The sequence below is a fragment of the Homo sapiens genome, chromosome 12, assembly GCF_000001405.40.
Source record: "Homo sapiens chromosome 12, GRCh38.p14 Primary Assembly".
Taxonomy (NCBI): domain Eukaryota; kingdom Metazoa; phylum Chordata; class Mammalia; order Primates; family Hominidae; genus Homo; species Homo sapiens.
The window spans coordinates 53,870,862-53,894,773 of NC_000012.12; the positions used below are offsets into that span (position 1 = coordinate 53,870,862).

General features: G+C 38.0%; 1 long non-coding RNA gene across 7 annotated transcripts in view; it reads left to right on the forward strand.

The window, feature by feature from the left end:
• Positions 1 to 23,912, forward strand: part of LOC105378250 (uncharacterized) — a 158,791-nt gene that overhangs the window by 131,268 nt on the left and 3,611 nt on the right. For 4 of the 7 annotated variants that reach the window (NR_189098.1, NR_189100.1, NR_189103.1 and 1 more), the window contains one exon: positions 4,294 to 4,387. The exons of the other annotated variants lie outside the window; for them this stretch is intronic. This is a non-coding gene — a long non-coding RNA (uncharacterized LOC105378250). The remainder of the gene's footprint in view (positions 1 to 4,293; positions 4,388 to 23,912) is intronic. 7 annotated transcript variants of the gene reach the window in all.

The window sequence follows — 23,912 nt, forward strand, 5'->3', positions numbered from 1 at the left end:
TCTGCTCACTGCAAGCTCCGCCTCCCGGGTTCACGCCATTCTCCTGCCTCAGCCTCCCCAGTAGCTGGGACTATAGGTGCCCGCCACCACGCCTGGCTAATTTTTTGTATTTTTCATAGAGACAGGGTTTCACCGTGTTAGCCAGGATGGTCTCGATCTCCTGACCTCATGATCTGCCTGCCTCGGCCTCCCAAAGTGCTGGGATTACAGGTGTGAGCCACTGTGCCTGGCCTCCTCTTGCAATCTTACAAACATTGCTGTGATGTGTTTTAAAGAGTAAGGAGGCTGGGCACAGTGGCTCATGCCTGTGATCCCAGCAATTTGGGAGGCCAAGGTGGGCTGATCACCTGAAGTCAGGAGTTTGAGAACAGCCTGGCCAACTTGGCAAAACCTCATCTCTACTAAAAGTACAAAAGTTAGCTGGGCATAGTGGCACATGCCTGTAGTCCCAGCTACTTGGGAGGCTGAGACAGAAGAATTGCTTGAACCCAGGAGGCGGAGGTTGCAGTGAGCCAAGATTGTGCCACTGAACTCCAGCCTGGGCAACAGAGCCAGACTCTGTCTCAAAAGAGAAAAAAAAGGTAAGGAAATGGAAGTGGCTCTGGCCTAATTTCTACCTCCTCAGCACAGTGGCCATCAGGCATATCCTAGCAATATGCTTGTACTAATGTAAAAAGCTTGCTCCACCCTCATTCAAGTCACTGAAGGAAGATCCTACATTAAGTTGTTACTCATTTCTTTCTTGGGAAATTCCCAAGTCCTATATGAGTAGAGAAGAACATTTCTATCTGGAGTCCAAAAGTCTTCATTTTCTAAATAGAACTTAAGTTTGTTCTATGATATGTTGGTCATTATGCTTCATAACAATCCCTGAAAATAAAGACTGTAAAAGAAGTAATTTATAAGGTTATGTGGTCTTGTGTGCGTGTGTGTGTGTGTGTGTGTGTGTGTGTGTTTGAGATAGAGAGAGACAGAAATTCATGTGATTTTCACTGTGGACTAGAGGAGTCTTAGAGAAATGTCATACTGACCATGCCACTTACTCTAAGCAGGGATAGATTCACATGTTATTTATTTTGAATCACATTATCTTAAGCATCTGGACAACTTAGATTTTATTCAAAGCTGAAGAGCTAGAGGAGAGAGGGGAGGGAAAGTAAGTATAGGGTATTTATTAAATACCTACTGTATGTTAGGTATTGTGAAAGACTTTATATATCATATATACTCAACATAAGGTGAGATTTTATCTTCCCAAGCTACTTTCTCAGAAAAGAGGAAGTTATTTTATATTTGAATCCTTACAAAGTCTTACATTATAGGGTACTTTCTCAATTGCTTTTTAAGGAAGACACATTAGTCTGTAAAAGCAAAAAGCAAACAACCTCTTCACCCCCAAACAAACAAAAAATAACCAGTGAGGGTTTGGATTACCTATAGAGGCCATTTGATGGGATTTCTTTTTTAAGTGGACTTCAGTTTCTGGGAATGTGAAAGGCTTGGGCTGGGTTATTTGAATCAACGTTCCTGCTGAAAATAGCTTTAAAATGCTGGATAAAATAGTTAAGACATCTTAAAAGCATGAAAGAGCCAACAAAATAGTAGGGAAATATCAGGTCAAAATCTAGTTGAAAGTGAAAACTCAAAGTGATAAGTGAAACAAAAAGGCTACTTTTAACCAGAAGGTATTTGCTGATAGAAGCAAACTTGCACTCTGGTTTTGATGGCTGGTCTGAGAACTTCAAACTCATGGCTGGCCCGAAGTTATGAATCTAATAGGAGACTGACCCCATATAAAACTGAAAAATCAAAGAGTTATACCCTTAGTGTAAGGTGAAATAGAAGTAAACCTAGGCTGGGCATGGTGGGTCATGCCTGTAATCCCAGCATTTTGGGAGACCAAGGTAGGAGGATTTCTTGAGCCAAGGAGTTCAAGACCAGCCTGGGCAACATAGGAAGACCCAGTCTCTACAACTAACAAAATCAGCTGGGTGTGGTGGCACACACTTATGGTTCCAGGTACTTGGGAGGCTGAGGCTACAGTGAGCCATGATTGTGCCACTGCACTCCAGCCTGGGTGACAGGATGAGACCCTGTCTCCAAGAAAAAAAAAAGTAAACCTACCCCCTCTGCCACATCTCCAAGGGACTATAAGAAAGTTTCCTTGGTGCTGAGCAGAGCAGAAGGAAAAAGTCCAAGCCAGCCTGATTTGCAGCCCAAATTTATATCACCTAGGTAGTAAAAGAAAACCTCAAACCTTGAATTTAATTTTAAATGATTCCAGATTAGTATTTCCTTTGGGGACCTAGCAAAAGCAAAGGCAAATCCTCCCTCAATGAAGACCTCTTCATCCTAAGCCTCAAAAATCTCCACAAGTAATTCTTCAAAGGCAGTGAGCAAATAAGCACATAGGGAGAGAAGGCACCGTGAGTAAGAATCAGCAAAAACAACAGACAGCAGAAACAGATGCACAAAGCCTCCAGAGATTGAAACTACCTGTTAGGCACATGTTAAAAAACAAGCCTGAAAATATTTCCGGGAATGTAAAAAGTGATCTAATGGATTTAAAGCAGAACCAAGTAGAATGATTCTAACAGCAAATTGGACCCAATTGAAGAGATAATTAGTAAATTAGGAGACAGATCAAAAGAAATCCAGAATGAAGCACAATGTGGTGAAAGTATGAAAATATCAAACAGAGTTGAGATATATGGAAAATAGAGGGAGAAGACCCGTATCAACCAATAATTAAGGCTCCAAAATTAAACAAGACAAAGAATAGAACAGAGGCAATGTTTGAAGAAATAATGACAGGATTTTCTTAAACTGATTAAAGTCACTCAGAAGCCCAGTGAATTCCAAGCAAGATAAATAAATAAAAAAAATAAATCCAACCCTAACATATGAAACTACAGAACATGAAATATGAAGAGAAAAATAAGGAGATAAGAAAAAAGATAAAAATAAGAAAAATAAGGAGATAAGAAACTTCTGCTTCTGGTCACAAAGAAGTAACTGACATGAAACTTGTCCTTCCATCCTAAACAAGTGCTATATACATGAAAATATATATATATATATATTTACTGAATGGGTTTAATAACAGATTTGACACTACAGAAGAAAAGATAAATGCGCTTGAAGACATAGAAAGAAACCATACAAACGGAGGCATAGATAGAAAAAATACTGAAAAACAAAAAGAAGGCATTAATGACTGCAGGGACAATATCAAGTAGTTTAACATTTATGTAATAGGATTAAGAAAATTTTGATGGAATAATGGATAGCTTCCCCTCAATTTAATAAAAACTATAAACCTATAAATTTAAGAAGCTCAGTGACCCTAGGCTGGCTAAACATAAAGACAACTACACCAAGGCACATCATAATCAAATTGCTGAAAAATTTTAAAGTAGCTAGGGAAGATATATTAAATATAAGGGAACAAAGATAAGAATTATTAGACATGGTTTGTCAGCATCAATGTAAGCCAGGAGACATTGGAAGAACATTTTTTTTTTCACCTAGCAAATTAGCAATTTTTATTTCTTTGTTTCGTTTTATTTTATTTTATTATTATTATACTTTAAGTTTTAGGGTACATGTGCACAACGTGCAGGTTTGTTACATATGTATACATGTGCCATGTTGGTGTGCTGCATCCATTAACTCGTCATTTACATTAGGTATATCTCCTAATGCTATCCCTCCCCTGCTCCCCCCACCCCACAACAGGCCCCGGTGTGTGATGTTCCCCTTCCCGTGTCCATGTGTTCTCATTGTTCAATTCCCACCTATGAGTGAGAACATGCGGTGTTTGGTTCTTTGTCCTTGCAATAGTTTGCTGAGAATGATGGTTTCCAGTTTCATCCATGTCCCTACAAAGGACATGAACTCATCATTTTTATGGCTGCATAGTATTCCATGGTGTATATGTGCCACATTTTCTTAATCCAGTCTATCGTTGTTGGACATTTAAGTTGATTCCAAGTCTTTGCTATTGTGAATAGTGCCGCAATAAACATACGTGTGCATGTGTCTTTACAGCAGCATGATTTATAATCCTTTGGGTATATACCCAGTAATGGGATGGCTGGGTCAAATGGTATTTCTAGTTCTAGATCCCTGAGGAATCGCCACACTGTCTTCCACAATGGTTGAACTAGTTTACAGTCTGGAAGAACATTTTTAAAGTACTGAATGAAAAATATGTGCCAACCTGAAATTCTATGTCCAGTTAAAATGTTTTTCAAAGTAAAGGTTAATAAAGACTTGTTTCCACACAAACAGAATCCGAATGAATACTGAGTGCTAAAGGAAGATTTTTAGGTTGAATGAAAAGGATATTGAATAGAAACTTGGACTTATAAGAGTTTCAGAAATGGTAAGTATATGGGTAAATATTAAGACTTTTTCTTGTTTTTAAATTTTCTTTAAAAGTTAACAGGCTATTTACGAGGTGGGCAGATCACTTTGAGCCCAGGAGTTCGAGACCAGCCTGGGCAACATGGCAAAACCCTGTTTCTGCAAAAAATACAAAAATTAGCCAGACATGGTGGCACATGCCTATATTCCCAGCTACTCAGGAGGCTGAGGTGGGAGAATTGCTTGAACCTGGGAGGTGGAGGTTGCAATGAGCTGAGATGATGCCACTGCAGTCCAGCCTGGGCGACAGAGCGAGACGCTGTCTCAATAAATAAATAAATAAATAAATAAATAAATAAATAAATAAATTTTAAAGGAAAAAAGTTTTAAAAAAGGATAACAAGTTATTTAAAACAAAAGAGAAAGCAATGTATTTTGGGGTTTATAACATACATAGCAGTAAAATGTATGACGATAATAGCACAAAGGAGATGGAAGCAAACTATTGTCCCTACTTTGTATGTGACAGGGTATATTATTTGAATATAGGCATTGATAGTTAAAATTGCATAATATAAATCCCATAAAATAGTCAATAAAATAACCAAATGAAAAAGTATAGCTATCCTAAAACTTATTCAATCCAAAAGAGGAATCCTAAAACTTACTCAATTTATCCAAAAGAGGAAAGAGGAAACAAGGGATGACCAGACTTAATGTCAACTATATTGATAATTACATTAAATATAAATAGTCTAAACCTTCCAATTAAAAGCTAGAAATTGTCAAATAGAATAAATAAGCATGATTAAACAATATGCTGTCTGCAGGAAATGCATTTTAAATATTTAGATTAAAAGTAAAGGGTGGGAAAACAGGTAGCATGCAAACATAAATAATAAGAAAGCTGAAGGTGCTATATTAATCCCAGGCAAAGGAGACTTCAGTACATGGAATAGTAAGACAGATAAAGAGGGACATTTCATAATGATAAAAGGTTCAGATGATCAAAAGGAAATAACAATAATAATAGTAAATAATTGGCAAATTACAGAACATCGAAATACATGGAGCAGAAGTGCCATAACTATAAAGAGAAATAGACAAACTCACCATTAGAATAGATTTTAAACTCTGTTCTCTCAGGAATTGATAGAACAAGTTGTCATAATACCACTAAAGATTTAGAAGGCTTGAACAACATAACTAACTAACTTGATTGAGTCTTCCTTCATAGAACGTTACCTGCGGTGATTGCAGAACACATGTTATTTTCAAGTATATATGGAACAGTCACCAAGGTAAACCATTTTGACCATAAAACAAGCATTGCTAAATTTAAAAGGATTGAAATCATATAGAGTATACTCTGATCACATCAGAATTAGATTAAAAACCTAACCAAAAGTATATCTGAAAAATTCCCATAGTTTAGAAAATTAAACATAATATTCCTAAATAGTCCATGAAACACAAATCACAAGGTAAAATAGAAAATACTTTGACTCTTAAAAAAACAAAGCACAATATTTTAAAATTTGTGAATGTAGCTACGGAAGTATCTAAAAGGAAACCTATATCTGTAAATGTTTTTGTTAGAAAAGAAGAAAGATCCCAAATCAATTATCTAAGATTCCATTTTAAAGACTTATAAAAAGAAGCACAAAATGAAGCAAAAGTAGAAGAATGAAATAATAAAAATTAGGGTGGAAATCACTGAAATAAAGAACAGAAAAATAATAGATAGTCAATGATATGAAAAGCAGTATCACTGAATAAATTAACAAAATTGATAAACCTCTAGTTAGAAAGATTATAAAAAGCAAAGAAGATACAGCTTACAAATATCAGGAATGAAAAAAGGAGATACCATAGATCAACAGGCTTTATTTTATTTTATTTTATTTTATTTTTATTTATTTATTTTTTTGAGACAGAGTCTTGCTCTGTCGCCCAGGCTGGAGTGCAATGGTGCGATCTCTGCTCACTGCAACCTCTGCTTCCCATGTTCAAGCAATTCTTATGCCTCAGCCTCCCAAACAACTGGGGTTGCAGGTGTACGCCACCATGCCCAGTTAAGTTTTTGTATTTTTAGTAGTGATGGGGTTTCACTATGTTGGCCAGGCTGGTCTTGAACTCCTGGCCTCAAGTGATACCCCGCATTGGCCTCCCAAAGTGCTGGGATTACAAGCGTGAGCCACCGTGCTTGGCCAATTCAACAGACTTTAAAGGCTAATAAGGAAATATTATGAACAGCCTTATGTTAATAAATTTGACAACTTAGATGAAATGGATAAATTTCTGAAAAACACAAGTCGCCAAAACTGACATATAAGTTGAAAAATGTGAACAACTCTAGCTCTATTGAAAAAACTGAATTTATAATTTTAAAACCTTCCCTTGAAGAAAAACACCAAAGCAAGATGGCTTCACTGGTGAATTCTATCAGACCCTGAATGAAGAAATCATACCAATCCTGCAGATTTCAGAAAATATGAGAGGAGGAAACACTTCATAACTCATTTTATGGTGCCAAAATTACTCTGACATCAAAATCATACAAAAACATCATAAGAAAATAAACGTGTAGTTTAATATCTATCATAAACACAGATATAAGAATTCTTGATATCTATGTATATATTTATTATACTTTAAGTTCTAGGGTACATGTGCACAATGTGCAGGTTTGTTACATATGTATACATGTGCCATGTTGGTGTGCTGCACCCATTAACTTGTCATTTACATTAGGTATATCTCCTAATGCTATCCCTCCCCCCTCTCCCCACCCCACAACAGGCTCCAGTGTGTGATGTTCCCCTTCCTGTGTCCAAGTGTTCTCATTGTTCAATTCCCACCTATGAGTGAGAACGTGCAGTGTTTGGTTTTTGTCCTTGCGATAGTTTGCTGAGAATGATGGTTTCCAGCTTCATCCATGTCCCTCCAAAGGACATGAACTCATCCTTTTTTATGGCTGCATAGTATTCCATGGTGTATATGTGCCACATTTTCTTAATCCAGTCTATCATTGTTGGACATTTGGGTTGGTTCCAAGTCTTTGCTATTGTGAATAGTGCTGCAAAAACATACGTGTGCATGTGTCTTTATAGCAGCATGATTTATATTACTTTGGGTATACACCCAGTAATGGGATGGCTGGGTCAAATGGTATTTCTAGTTCTAGATCCCTGAGGAATCGCCACACTGTCTTCCACAATGGTTGAACTCCTTTACAGTCCCACCAACAGTGTAAAATGTTCCTATTTCTTCACATCCTCTCCAGCACCTGTTGTTTCCTGACTTTTTAATGATCACCATTCTAACTGGTGGGAGATTGTATCTCATTGTGGTTTTGATTTGCATTTCTCTGATGGCCAGTGATGATAAGCATTTTTTCATGTGTCTGTTGTCTGCATAAATGTCTTCTTTTGAGAAGTGTCTGTTCATATGTTTTGCCCACTTTTTGATGAGGTTGTTTTTTTCTTGTAAATTTGTTTGAGTTCTTTGTAGATTCTGGATATTACCCTTTGTCAGATGAGTAGATGGCAAAAATTTTCTCCCATTCTGTAGGTTGCCTGTTCACTCTGATGGTAATTTCTTTTGCTGTGCAGAAGCTCTTTCGTTTAATTAGATCCCATTTGTCAATTTTGGCTTTTGTTGCCATTGCTTTTGGTGTTTTAGACATGAAGTCCTTGCCCATGCCTATGTCCTGAATGGTAATGCCTAGGTTTTCTTCTAGGGTTTTTATGGTTTTAGGTCTAACATTTAAGTCTTTAATCCATCTTGAATTAATTTTTGTATAAGGTGTAAGGAAGGGATCCAGTTTCAGCTTTCTACATATGGCAAGCCAGTTTTCCCAGCACCATTTGTTAAATAGCGAATCCTTTCCCCATTTCTTGTTTTTGTCAGGTTTGTCAAAGATCAGATAGTTGTAGATGTGTGGTATTATTTCTGAGAGCTCTGTTCTGTTCCGTTGGTCTATATCTCTGTTTTGGTACCAGTAGCATGCTGTTTTGGTTACTGTAGCGTTGTAGTATAGTTTGAAGTCAGGTAGCGTGATGCCTCCAGCTTTGTTCTTTTGGCTTAGGATTGACTTGGCAATGCGGGCTGTTTTTTGGTTCCATATGAACTTTAAAGTAGTTTTTTTCAATTCTATGAAGAAAGTCATTGGTAGCTTGATGGGGATGGCATTGAATCTATAAATTACCTTGGGCACTATGGCCATTTTCACGATATTGATTCTTAGTATCCATGAACATGGAATGTTCTCCCATTTGTTTGTGTCCTCTTTTATTTCTTTGAGCAGTGGTTTGTAGTTCTCCTTGAAGAGATCCTTCACATCCCTTGTAAGTTGGATTCCTAGGTATTTTATTCTCTTTGAAGCAATTGTGAATGGGAGTTCACTCATGATTTGACTCTCTGTTTGTCTGTTATTGGTGGATAAGAATGCTTGTGATTTTTGCACACTGATTTTGTATCCTGAGACTTTGCTGAAGTTGCTTATCAGCTTAAGGAGATTTTGGGCTGAGACAATGGGGTTTTCTAGATATACAATCATGTCATCTGCAAACAGGGACAATTTGACTTCCTCTTTTCCTAATTGAATACCCTTTATTTCTTTCTCCTGCCTGATTGCCCTGGCCAGAACTTCCAAAAGAATTCTTAATAAAATATTAACAAATTGAATCCAGCAAAGTCAGTTTAACATTTGACTATCAATCAATATATTTCACCATATAAACAAAAAAATGGAGACACCATGTGATCACCTCAGCAGATTCAGAATAAGTACTTGACAAAATTCAACACTAATAATTCTCCAGACTAGAAATAGAAAAAAACTTTTCTCAGTCTGATAAGGAGCATCTACAGAAAATCTACAGTTAACATCATATTTAATGGTGAACACTTTCCCCCTAAGATCAAGAACAAGGCAAATATGCTCATTCCTACGAGTTCTGTTCAGTGTTGTGCTGGAGATCCTAGCCTGTAAACTAAGGCAAGAAAAAGAAATAAAAATCATACACAGTGAAAAGAAAAAAGTAAAATTGTTTTTATTTGCAGGTAACATGATTGCATATATATATAAAATCCAAAGCAATCTAGAAAAAATCTGTTAGAACTAATAAAATTAGATATGTTGCAGGATATAAGGTCAACGTGTGGAAAAAATCAATTGTATTCTCATACTAGCTATGAACAATTAGAAAGTAAAAAGTTTAAAACTACTATCTATAATAACATCTAAAAATTCATGAAATATTTAAGGATTAATTTGACAAAGTCTGTGCAGGACCTGAACACTGAAAACAACAAAACAATCAAAATTGTCAAAATTATTTTCCAATTTTTTATTGTGTAAAATACATATAACATAGAATTTACCATCATAGCTATTTAAATGTACAATTCATTGGTTTTAGATAAATTCATAATGTTTGTTTTACCACCATCTCCATCATCCATCTCCGTAACTGCTTTCATCTATAAAACTGAAACTCTATACCCATTAAACAATAACTTCCCATTTTTCTTCTCCTCCAGCCCCTAGAAACTACCGTTCTACTCTCTGTTTCTATTATTTTGTTGGCCAGTTTTGGATAAAGGTGCCAAGGTATTTCAATGTAGGAAAGGATACTATTATAACAAATTATGCTAGAACAACTAGATATCCATCACAACAACAACTTTGACCCTTACCTCACATCATAGACAGAAATTAGTTTGAGACAGAGCAAAGACTTTTCTAGAATAAAACATAGAAGGAATCTTCACAACATTGGGATAGGTAAAAATTTCTGAGATAGGACACAAAAAGCAGGATCCATGAAATTTTTAAAGTATGAATTTGATTTTGAAATTAAGAACTTCTGCTCTTTGAAAGAGACTTTTAAGCAAAGGAAAAGACAACACAAGACCATGACAAAAAATCTGTCTATCTATCTATCTACCTATCTATCTATCTATCTATCTATCTATGCCATTCTCCTCAGCCTCCCGAGTAGCTGGAATTACAGCCACCTGCCACACCCAGTTATATATACATATGTCTCTGACAAGGGACATGTGTAGTCCTTTGCACAGACAAAGAACTCTTCTTACAAGTCATCAATAACAAGGCAAACTAATTTAAAGATGGACAGAGGCTGTGAACAGGCTTCACAAAAAAGATATGCAAATGTTTAATAAATGCATAAAAAGTTGCTCACTACCTTTAGTCATCAGGGAAATGCAAATTAAAGTCACACTGAGATACCACTACACACCACTAGAATGGCTCAAAATAAAAAGACTGACAATAACACATGTCGATGAAAATATGGAGCAACTGAAACTCTCATACACTTCTGATGGGAATGGAAAATGGTACAATCACTTTGGAAAATAGTTTAGCAGTTTCTTGTTAAGTTAAACATACACTTGTTGTAAAAATCCAGCAATTGGCTTCCTAGGTTTTTACCCAAGATAAATGAACACATATGTTCCCACAAAGACTTGTACACAGGATGTTCATAGCAACTTTATTCACAGTAGTTAAAAACTAGAGACAACCCATATATCCATCAGCTGGTGAATGATTATACAAAGGGTGGTAGGTACATATAAAGGAATACTTTTGAGCAATAAAAATAATAAATTACCAATACATGCAACTTTAGAACACTGGAGAGCATTTATTCATATTTGAGTTTCCTCACATCCTTTATATGTTAGTCTATTAGGGTTGTTATCTTTTCTTATTTATTAACATGAGAATAAATAGAAATAATAGAATAGAGTAGGATAATAGAAGTAATAGGATAATAGAAAATGGGTATTTTCTATTCAGAGAATGGTTCATGACCAGCAATATTGGCAGTACCTGGAGCTTATAAGACATGCATAATCTTGGATCCTGTCCTGAACCTACTGATTCAAGATCCACTTTTAAACAAGATCCCCAGGTTTTTCAAATGCATACTAAAGTTTGCAAAGTACTGGTCTAGGTAAAGTCTTTTATGAAATTTAAATATTACAACTTTTTTTTTCCAATCTACCATCTTTCTGTTAATTTTACTTATGCATTCTTCATGTTCTTTATCGGAAACAAATTCTTATTTGATGAAATAATATTTACCAAAACTTTTTTATTTTTTCACCTTTTCTGTTTCTTATTTGATAGACGGAGTTTTTAGAAGTTCCTATGGTTTTTCCCTTGACTTAATAGCCATATTCTTGTTATTTACCCCTTTACTATTTCTTAAATATGGCATTATCTCAGATCCTAACAGGACAAGTTCTTTAGCATTCTGTTGGATCTCTTGTTTTCCATAACTCATTCCTCTATCATGTTGATATTGTCTGGATTTTTAGTTTATAGTTTCACAGGTATACCTTTTTTATTTTGTTTAATTCTAGCTTTTTAAAAAACAATAAACTTTATCAAAATACTTAATCACCCTTCCTTTCCATGTCTCCTTACTGGGTTACTTTTATTGGCGCGATCTTGGTTCACTGCAACCTCTGCCTCCCCAGACTCAAGCGATTCTCCTGCCTCAGCCTCCTGAGTAGCTGGGACTACAGGCACCTACCATGCCCTGCTAATTTTTGTATTTTTAGGCAGGGTTTCACCATGTTGGTCAGGCTGGTCTTGAACTACTGACCTTACGTGATCCACCCACCTCGGCCTCCCAAAGTTCTGGGATTACAGGCGTGAGTCTTTTTCCTCTCAAAGTGCGGCCTTTTTCCTCTAACTCTTTAAAGATTCTACTCCATTGTTTCTTTCATCCTATGTTCTATTGACATCTAATGTCAGCTTGATGCTTATTCCTTAATTAGTAATCTACTCTTTCTCCCTTAAAATTCTCTATTTGTCTTTGATATTCTTAAAATTCAGTATAATGTATTTAATTGTGCATTTTTGCTATCTGTTTTATTTGGCCCTGTATGAGCCCTTCCAATCTAAGGTCTTTCGTCTTTAATTTTGTAGAGTGTTTCTTCTTTGTTTCTTTAAATATTTTCTCGTCCACTTTTCTCTCCTGGGGCTTCTATTGTTAGACTGTTGGACCTGCTATTTCTAACCTTTATAGCCTTTAGATTTTCTTTAAATTAAAGAAAAAAAAATTCTCTTTATTCTTTCCTGCTACCTACTGTGGAAGCCTGTTCTTTATAACTACTCATCTTTGAATGAGATAAGTTTTCCCTGTATCACTATTCATAGGAAGACTGAGTGGTTGAGAGCTCGGAGTTCCAGGCTAAGAGAAATTTTTCTTATGTCTCAGGTTTATTTATGAATTTTTTCCTTTATATTTCCCCAGCCAATGGATATAGGTTGCTGTAGGACTAGTCGAGAGGCAAGGTTTATATTCTCCCTCCATCACACTGCTTTCTGAAAATACGCTTGTTTGTGTAATTCCTTCAGCTCCACTTCTTTTGTTTCTCTGAAGCAAAGTAGGTCTAGGAAAGCTCTTGCTGCAAGCCTATACACCCTGCTGTGAGAGATTTTGGTTTTGTATTGAAGATGTGCTCCTAGAAGCAGTGTACCTACTGATTCTTTACATCTGCAGCTGGGTGCATCCTCTCTTCTCCCCAGTCCTGTTCATGGCTACTCCTTTTGATGCCTTTCTATCTCTCTCTTGGTTCATCTTTCTTGTAGCTTCATTGAAGATTTCTCATTCTCCTTGTCATTTTTTAATTTTTGGTGATTTACAAGAGGAGAAAAGGAATATGTCATTTTTATACTGCCATCTTCACGTTGCCGTCTTCAAACAGGAAGTCTAAGCCATCTTAGAAATTCTTGTATTTTCAGCTTATAGCAATTATTTCACGGTAATGAGTTCTATTAGTCTGCTAACTGAATGTAAAACAGTTTATTCATTTGTTTCAAAATGTGCCTCTCTTGTTCCATTATTTCAGGATTGGCAAATACTATATTTACCCACAGGATAGCCATCTTGAATTTAAATATTTTCACTATATCCTACCCTCCAAATTTTATCTTTTTACATAAAGATCACTATTGTCATAAGCCAGCCACTCAATCCTCTTCCATGGGCTATCTCTAACTTTATTATGTGTCTTAAAGAGAAGAATCTAAAACTGAGTTCATTATCCTATGTGTGGCCACACCATTGTCTTGTACAAAGTCACCCCTGAATATTGGTTTGTGAGCATTCTAGTATTCCTTGCTGCCAATGCCAAAGAGCAGAGCTCTGCCCTCCAATGACAGATGACAGTGATATTTAAAAAATAAATCAATGAAAGTCATTCCTTGCCTTCTGGAATCTCCCATTCTAAAGTCTAGTTTAGGAAAGTTCTCTCACTCTCTCTGATACACACACACACACACACACTACCACCACCATCACCAACAACAATAAAAGGCTTAAGAACACTTAATAATGTGTAAAAAGTGGCAAAGTAGCAAAACAAAACTATATTTGTAACTGCTGTGGAGTCACAGAGCAGTAGCATTGTCACTGTTGGGTTAAGGGAAGTCTCCCTGCAAATAGGAAGTTTTACGTGGAGTTTAAACAAACGATAGTTTAAGTCATTGCTGGGCAATTTATTAGCTATATAATCTTGAGCAAAATGACTGGTCTTTCCAAAAACCAGTTAACTAACTCTGTCATAAAATAGTATCCGCCTCAAAGAGATTTTTTAAGTTAACTGAGATGACACATGCAAAACCCTTAGCACAATGCATGGCACATAATAAGTATTCAGGAAATCTCAGCTATTATTATTTTTATAAGGAGAGAAATTGAGTTACTGCAGAGGAGGTGAACATTTTTGGCATGAAGGCCTGAGGTTTTGCATGAGGATGTCATGTATGAAAGAGAGGAAGTAGAGTACATAAACCAGAGAAGAGATTCCATTTAGAAAGCCATTAGATGGAGGTGTGGTGGTGGGTGGGAGTGGTGAGGAGAGGGAGCTGTACAAACGATGAATTAAGGCCAAGTGGAAGAGCTTTAATTTGATATGATGAACAACAATAGCTACCGCATAACAAGGGGATCCCGTGAAAGCAGCTTTCACGGATTCCCTGGGACTGCATTCCTCAATAAAGTATTATCACATAAATTTTTACTTCTGGCTTTAATTCTTAGGGAAACCAGGCCAAGAAAGAAGAATAAACTCTAAGAAATACTACGATGGAGGAATGAGGACTTGGTAGTGGTGTAACTGTGTATGGCAAAGATTAGGGGGAAGTTTAAAGATTAGCTCCAAGTTTGTGGGCCTGGGGACCTGGGGATGGAGGTGGAGTGAAGGTAATTTTCATAGTGGTGAGGAAAGGGGGAAGTTAAGAATCAGCCCTAGTCCTCCTTACGGTATGAGAGGGGCTTGTCTATATCCCAAATATATGGTTTAAAAGTCTCTGGGTCTCCTGGGTTACAGTCCTCACCCTGTATCCCCTTATCACTCTTTGATAGGTCTACATTTAATATGAGGTTGGGACAATCTGAGTGTGACCCTTAATTATTTTATGGCATAAGGTTTAATAAAGAGGAATCCAGTCAGGATGACAGACTTATGAAATCATTTTCCAAATCTTTATTTTAATATATAGTTTAACAACAGAAAAACCTAAACACAACACTACGAGTTATTTTAGAAAAAAAAAAAAGCAGACTAAAGTAGCAAAGGCATCTGTCTAAATTGGCTGTAATGAGACCAAAGAACCCTTCTAAAGCAGATACAAAAACAAAAGCAAGGACTGGAGTGTGAAGGAGAAGGTTTCTCTGGGAAAACATTTGAAAACCTTTATTTCCAAGCCTACCAATCAATAAATATTATCCCCCATTGTGAATGAACCCCATATGAGGCTCTCTGCAGGTGGATACTAAAGAAACCCCAGGCATCAGACATATTCTCAGAGAACATGAAATGTGGTAGGAGGTATAGGCCTCATGAGAATAAACTAAATCAGGATATTTACACAGATCCATCAAGTCCAGTACAGACTGAAGTATGCAGCTGCTGTCCACCCAAAGTAGCTCAAATTTTACGTGCTCAAAAGTAGAACTCACCTGCTCTTTCTTTTGTAGTTCCTATTTCAGTTGGAGGCATCCAGTTGCTTGTGCCAGAAACCTGGTTACCATTCTTGACTCCTTCTTCTCTATCATTATTTGAATGACCAAATACTATCGGCTTTAACCCAAATGTTTTTCAAATCTGCCTCTAGGGGAGGCAGCCTTTGTAAACAGCAGTGTAGGCTAACATTATTCCAGCTTAGATATCTATGGGGAGGAATCTCTTTAGACTCAAATTTCTTTTCTAAGTGAGTGAAATACAATGACTGTCAGACCTAACAAAATCAGGAACTTGTCTGCACCCTTCCATCTCTGGGAAATTGACATGGACTCCTAAAGATTGCTGTACCTGTCAAACCAAATGGCAGATAGAAAAGATGGGGCCTGTTGGGGGGTAGAGGCAAGGGGAGGGAGAACATTAGGACAAATACCTAATGCATGCGGGGCTTAAAACCTAGATGATGGGTTGATAGGTGCAGCAAACCACCAGTCACATGTATACCTATGTAACAAGCCTGCATGTTCTGCACATGCATCCCAGAACTTAAAATAAAATAAAATAAAATAAAATAAAATAAAATAAAATAAAATAAAATAAAAGGTGGTTGAGGACCCAAAGAACCCTACATAATGTCAACAGAAACACATTTTATTGGACATTCTTAAGTCTTCCTATGACTTGGTACTGCATGTGCTAATCTTGGGAAAGTCAGCTGCCAGAACTTTGGGAAGCAGAAAATTGGATACATGAGCTTGATTATTCAAATAAATGATTTGATACCTAAATTATCTGGATAATTGCCTCCTTATGGTCTAGGACAACCTGACCCCCCATACTCCTAGAGCCACAGGAAATCTGAGAGTCATAATTGCCTGTGGGAAACTAAATAGAGTGTCTGAGGGGGTGTCTGCAGAGTAGGAAATGAAAACCGACTGTTCAAAGTGGCAAATGAGTAACGTGTTCATTGTGACAGGTAGAAAATCAGCCCAGGCTGGGAGTAAGTCGGGGGAGTAAATTTTGGTTGGTGTCTGACAATTTCCTTATCCTGTCTATTTTTTAAACTTTGGTTGATTCATTCCCAAGTAACCCTCATCCAGTGTTAGTTTCTTGTTTATTCTATGCTCACATAGCACCAGGGGACTGTCTGTACCACATATTTGCACTTATTTATATGCTGCTTTGTAAATGTTTTTAAGCCCTTTTTCTATATGTGTGCCATGTTTTCTGAAGTGGATTTATGTTCTCTGATGTAGTCTCCTCAATAGTCATTTCCCACTTTCCTCTCATCTGCATTTTACAGCTCTGTTCGTTTGATGTTGTCTCATAAAGACCTCCATGTAACTTCTTAATACCTTTATCTACACTTCGCCCTCCTTCTGCTGTTGAGTAAAAGTATGAAAGTGATGCTGCATGTGCAGTCAAGATATAGTACACCTGCTATTAGGTTTCCGCTTTACAATGATCTGCTTTAAGACAACAACTTGAGCAACTCTGCATCTAAAAGCCTGGATTCCTTGTGCATACTTTGTGTCATTGTCCATGATGCACAACAAGCTGAGCCCCTTCCTGTTCCCACATAACAACATGGACTTTGCCCTACTCTGCTTGGAAACCCCTTTCCCCTTCTGCACTTGGGAAGTCAGCAAGAAACTCATGCTTCAAACCCTAGCTCAGAGGGTTGAGAACCTAGCTCCTCTCCCAGGCAAATATTCACTCATCTCATCTGCTCCCAGAATGCTTTTTACAAACATTTTCTAAGGCCCATGCCCATTTTATAATTTTGTTTTGTTTTCACATCGGTCTTCACCAAAATGCATACTTCAAGACCACAGCTTATTCATTTTTATAACCATATTACCAAATACTGCAGCTGTCACACAATGGATACTCATAAAATATTGGAGAATAAATATTCAGGGAATAAGTTCTTGTGTAGAATGTTGATAGTTCTCTGCTCTATATTCCCATCCCTCGAAGGAGCCTGCCAGGATGAATTCTTCCAGCTTCATTCTTCATATGCCTTCTCTGCCTCAAGAACCAGTGTCCTGCTGGTCCCAGTCCATCCCTGCTGTCATCCCAACTCTTCCATTAATTGGCAGAGGCAGAATGGGGCCCTGAGGTGGTTTAAATAAACCATTTGTTCATTTATCAGATATTTATTCCAGTATTTGTCTCAATATTTATTTCATGTCTACCCTGTGCCAGGTGCAGTTTGTTTTACGTGCTGTTCATATACCAGTTAACAAGATAGTCAAAGTCCCCATCCTCCTGATGCTTATATTTTAATGATTTAGTTTGGAAAGTGAGCTGATGGACAGATTAAAAATGGAAAACAAAGCTTTTTGCCTACATTGTCTGATCAATTCAATTCAAAGCTATATAAATCTTCATTTTTCCACTTGAGTTTGGTAATTGAGTCCTATCTGCATGTGTCTTTCTGTAGTCATACTTCCCAGAAAAAAAAAACAACATATACCATGGCCACACTTGCCCCTAGCACCTATGCCATGCTATAGGTAGACACATACACCTATACATATATACACATATACACAGCTATACAATGTATACACTCACTGATCATCCATTCACCCAAATATCAAACCTCCCAAGGTATAAGGTATGCCACCTTCCCCTCCACTAATACATATCCATTCTGATGCATTTCTTTCCTTCTTTTCTTCCTTCCTTCCTCCCTCCGTCTTCTTTCTTTCTTTCTTTCTTTCTTTCTTTCTTTCTTTCTTTCTTTCTTTCTTTCTCTTTCTTTCTTTCTCTCTCTCTTTCTTCTTCTTTCTTTCTTCTCTCTCCCTTTCTTTCTTTCTTCCTCCTTCCTCCCTTCCTTTCTTTCTTTTCTTTCTTTCTTTCTTTTTCTTTCTTTCTTTCCTTTTTCTTTCTTTCTTTTCTTTCCTTTCCTTTCTCTTTTCTTTTCTTTCCTTTCCTTTCCTTTCTTCCTTCCTTCGTTCCTTCCTTCCTTTCTTTCTTTCTTTCTTTCTTTCTTTCTTTCTTTCTTTCTTTCTTTCTTTCTTTCTTTCTTTCTCTCTCTCTCTCTCTCTCTCTCTCTCTCTCTTTCTTTCTTTCTTTCGTCTCACTCTGTTGCCCAGGCTACAGTGCAGTGGCACAAACATGGCTCACTGCAGCCTCACCTCCTGGGCTCAAGCGATCCTCCTGCTTCAGCAGCCTCCTGAGTAGCTGGGACCACAGGTTTGTGCCACCACACCTGGCTAATTTTTTAAATTTTTGTAGAGACGGGATCTGGCCATTTTGCTCAGGCTGGCCTCTAACTCCTGGCCTCAAGCCATCCTCCTGCCTGGGCCTCCCAAAGTACTGGAATTACAAGCGTGAGCCACTGCACCTGGCCTGGATGCATTTTCTAATGCATGTGCATGCAGATGCACATAGAACAAACATGACCACACACACAGGCACATGTGCATATAGTGGCAGTTAGAAAAACACTTTCACAGAGGGCCTAATGATAACTTTTATTTCTTTGTGTGTGGTGATTTGCAATTTCTAAATGTTTTCCCATCCATTGAACTCCTTTGATCTTCCTGCCAAATTCTCTAAGGCAGTCTATGCCCATTTTCTATTTAAGGAAACTGAGGATGAGCAAAAAAAAGAGAGAGAAAGAGAAAGATCTGTATTTACTGAAGAAATGACTACAGCATGCACGCATGCATACACACACACACACACACACACACACACACACACACACACACAACCTGGGCCTGGTCATGGAGCTATGCATTTTTGCACATATCATCTCTGTGAAATATCATTTTACCCATCTTACAGATGAGGTAGCATTTGAACTATATCATGAAACATTGCACGGACCCCTATTTTCTCACGAGTCCAGCAAATTGGCATTTAAGTCATCCCAGATGGATGGCTATTATAAGGGCTGTCCTAAGGGGTACCAAAGAGGAGAGTCTTTTCCATCAGGATTTTTTTTTCCTCTAACTCAGTCCCAGCCTCTGTAGCTTCATTCTATTTCCTTGTGGTTTTTACTTCCTCAGAAAGAATGAAGCACAGCTGCCAGTTGTCCTCTGAATAACTCTTCAGAGATTTGAAGCCTGTTATGCTGTTGAAGACAGGTATCTCCCAGTTCCCATCACTTCATGTTAGAGTGGACTTAATAATTAAGTGTTCCTCAGTAAAGGCTCAAAGCCATAATGTAAAGAGCACCCCCTCTTTTTCATTATCTTGACGCAAAGACATGTTTCACACAGGTCAGATAACCTTGCAAAAATCTACTGGCCTGCCCACCAATGTTGAGTGTGGATTTGTATAAATAGTCATGGAGGACAGAAGGCTTGGGACCCAGTTTTCAGCATCTTTTATAGCACGCCTCCCTGCCTTTCACATCCTAGACTTCTCCCCCGGACTTTCCTTGCTTCTCTCCACAGATCTAAGTTTACCCCTTTTCCCCGCTCTTTCCTGCCGCTCCTTGTAAAGTACACACGCAGAGGCACACACATGGAATCTTGTCCATGGCCCATCACTTTGGTCCTTTACTCCCTGACTTGGTTTTTCTCTATTTAGTTTCCTTACATCTTTCTAGCACTTACCTTGGAGCTCAGCAAGCTGCCTCCTGGTTCTGTCCTTGTCTCTCTTTGCTGTGGTCTCTGCTTCACGAGTGCTTTCCAATCTCCCCCATGGTACAGAACTCTCCCAGTGGGAAGGGACTATATCTCCTCCTTTTGAATTTTCTCCCTATTCCCTGAACACATGGTGGCCATCTCAGAAGTGACTGACCTACACAAGATGTGATGATCCTCCAAGTCAGTGGATTTTTTTTACAAGTTTTATTTTGTTTTTAATTGTCACATAATAATTGTACATATTCATGGGGAACAGTGTGATGTTTCCATACATGGATACATCATGTAATAACCAAATCAGGGTAATTAGCAGATCTTTCACCTCAAACATTTATCAAGTCTTTGTGGTGAAAACATCCAAAACCCTCTCTTCTACCTATTTTGGAGTTATTTCTTAAATTCCTATTTAAGGCCTTGCTCTAGTTTTGGATATGAATTCAGCTTTAGTAAAGAACAATTTTTCATGCTTATGGCATTAGCTCAGGATGACAGAGAAAGTGTAAGAGAGGAAAAAAATATGATTCTGTGGATGAACACAATTTCTTGGGCCAATTAACTGAGACAGTTAACACGTTTATTATGTTTAAACTATTCAGTGATTAATTTAGGGAATTTTATAGACAGTTTAATACTGTCCCAGCATAAGGAATAAGCCATTTTATATAAAAGAAGAGAGAAAGAACCCTGAGATATATCTACCTCTGATGATGAATATTACAAATGAAAAATGGGGACATTAGAAATTTTTCTTTAAATTGTATAGTTCAGAATGAAGGTACAAATAGTCAACCCCCAAATGTTGGGGCATGTATATTACCTCTAGGAAATTTAAAATCCTGATTTGACCATTTTTTGCCCTTCAGCGTACACCTTGGCTTCCCTACCCTAGTCATTCCCAAGTTGACACTGCAAACACTTTCCAATGAATGCTTATGTAAACCATATATTGCTAAGGCAACTGCTTGGGCAAAAAACAAATTTAAAAACTAGTCTGTTGATCTCTGTTTTTTTTATTGTCCACTGTAATTTTATTGGCCAGGATCAATAGTTGCCTGGGTTTAAACCAAGAATATTTATTGAGTGCCTGGGATAGGTATGGTAGAGGTGGCAAGGTGAGGTCAACGCAAGACATTACAAGAACTAATTGTGTTACTTGAAGTGGATGTGGCTGTCTGGATCATCTCTACACCTACTCTATTTACTGCCTGAAATGCCCATTCTGCCCCACACCTCATGGTTCAGTCTTGTTTACTTCACCTTTTCTATTCTCTGGTTTTCCCACCTGTACCTTTTCAGGACTGCTGTACATACATGTACATGAAAAACAAACAAACAAACAAACAAACAAACAAAAAACCTCATTTCCTCCTTCCCTTCCTCTTTTCCTCTCTTTTGGTTACTAGATGCATATGTGTGGTACTAAAGGTGCCTTCTGATGTTGTCAACTCGGTCATGCAATTGGTCATTTTAGTGGAGAGTCCGGTGGGGGAGTGCTTCCATGAAGGGGTCACTTGATCAGGTAGCCCAGTATAGACATACCATCAGCTTGTTCTCTGCATGCATTTGCTCCTATTATTCTGTCTCTCTGTAATCATTCATCTATTCAACAAATATCTGTTATATGCCTACTATGTGCCAAGAATTCTACTATTCCTGTGTTTTAATAGTGACATGATATTGCTGTTTCTTTCTGATTAACAGATATTTTCAAAGGTGAATGAAGAAAGCTGTATTAGGAAAACTGTTATAAGATGAAGTTGATTTTTTTTCTGATCTCTGAAGGCTTTTATTAGTGCGAGGGGGGCAGGAAAGGAGGAACAATATAGCTGGTCAGAGATTCCTTTCTCACACTAGCTCCTGCCCTGGATAGCAGGGCAGTGGGTGGGAGGTAGGGCATTGCCTACAGTCATAATCCCCCCCACAAACCTTCTTACCCTCATTTTCTTGCCCCAGGGCCCCCCAACCAAAAGGGAGTCTGTCACTGTAATTAAGCAGTCTGTAATCAACAAAGTCCCATTAAGAAATAATGAGGCCAGTAATGCAGTGGGTGCCATTGGTGGGGGATTAGTGAAACTCATGTGGTTTCCTGCAACTCTCTCACTTTCTGAGGAAGTGTTGGGGAGAGGATAAGTGGATAAATTGTTGACTCAGCACTATTAGCATTAGTCCCTGCACTCTCCCCCATACTCTCCAGTTAAACACCTTGCTGAAGTTGGTTGGATGTGTTGGGTGGGACATTGTTCCCAGCTCTGATAAAGGCATGCATGTGAGTTCCTTGCTGGCAGGGTTACATCATAGTCATCTCTGCATTCCCAGTGCCTGGCACATCATAAGTGCCCAATAAATGTTCCATGAATGCCAGGAGAGGGTGTGTTAGAAGTACACATTGAGCCTAAAACCCAAATGTCCCACCTTCTTGCTTAAGACGTTCTCAAAAAGATTGTGGCTCCATGAGCGTCTGGGTAAATATGATTGACTGAAGAGGATCTTGGTACTAAGGACTTTAAGCTCTTTTCACACTCTTCGCATATTGAATCTTGCTTTTGTTTTAATTACCTATATATGAGGGCATAAGTTCTTGGAGGGATATGACCATTTTATATACTTTTATATTCCACAGAGTATATGTCGGGTGTAAAACTCTAATGTATATTTTGCAGCGGCAAGTATTGAAACTAGACATATGGAAAAGTTGCCGTGCCACAAAGTCAATGCCAAAGGTCCCCAGAATACACTTTTCTATTAATTTTAGAGTCCAGTAAAATAGTAAAAGCTAAATTGGGAGGGAACTAATCAATCTGGAGTTGTCCAAAATGCATTATATGATCTGTGTCAGGGGAGCTTGCTCTGCATGAAAATGTAGCTCATTCACCTTCCTAACATGAATCCTGTGGCGTCTAAAGAGTCTTACATGTGGCCAGGCATGGTGGTTCATGCCTGTAATCCTAGCACTTTGGGAGGCTGAGGTGGGTGGATCATGAGGTCAGGAGTTCGAGACCAGCCTGGCCAACATAGTGAAACCCCCGTCTCTACTAAAAATACAAAAAATTAGCCTGGCCTGGTGGCATGCACCTGTAGTCCCAGCTACTTGGAAGGCTGAGGCAGGAGAATGGCTTGAACCCAGAAGGTGGAGGTTGCAGTGAGCCGAGATCACGCCATTGCACTCCAGCCTGGGCAACAGAGCGAGACTCCATCTCAAAAAAAAAAAGAAAAGAAAAAAGTCTTACATGTGGAAGCAGCAGAATGATCTTTCCAAGTGTGTTTCAGCCCAAGGCCCCTGGGAGCTTGTGCAACATTAGCATCTTTTGAGCTTGTGGTTTTTATTGTTTTCCTCAGCCTAGAACTAGATGGCCCAGTCAGGAAACTGAAGGATAGCAATCCATATCATTCATTCGTTTACTTTCACAACACTGCCTCTAAGTTGTACAAACTCTTCTCAAGCAAAGACAGCTCATAACTTCTTTCAAGGTAGAAAGTTCTTCTAAAGAAGGAGTCAATATGGGGTGGGGGTTATGGACACCTACTTCAAGTCACATAGATTTGGGTTTTAACCCAGAACAGTTTCAATGCATTCTCCTGTTTACTTAAACAAATTACTTAATCTTATGTCTGAAATAGTGCTAACAATACCTATCACACAGTTTGTGAGGATTAAAAGAAAAGAAGGTACGTAGAGCACCTCCTAGCACTGTGCCTGGCTCACAGTGAATGCTCAAAATGGCAGTTAAGGAGAATAGAGCTAAATTCAGCTTCAGTCTGTCCTTTTCCAGTATGTGCTGCATAATTCTGCCTAGGTTTACGTGAGCTCTGCGATTGTTCCTCACGTGTCTTTATGTTTTGTTTCTCTACTTAGGCTGTAAGCACCCCTTACCAGGATCTGATATTCTTTCATATTATTGAATTCCACAGAAGTCTTTACGG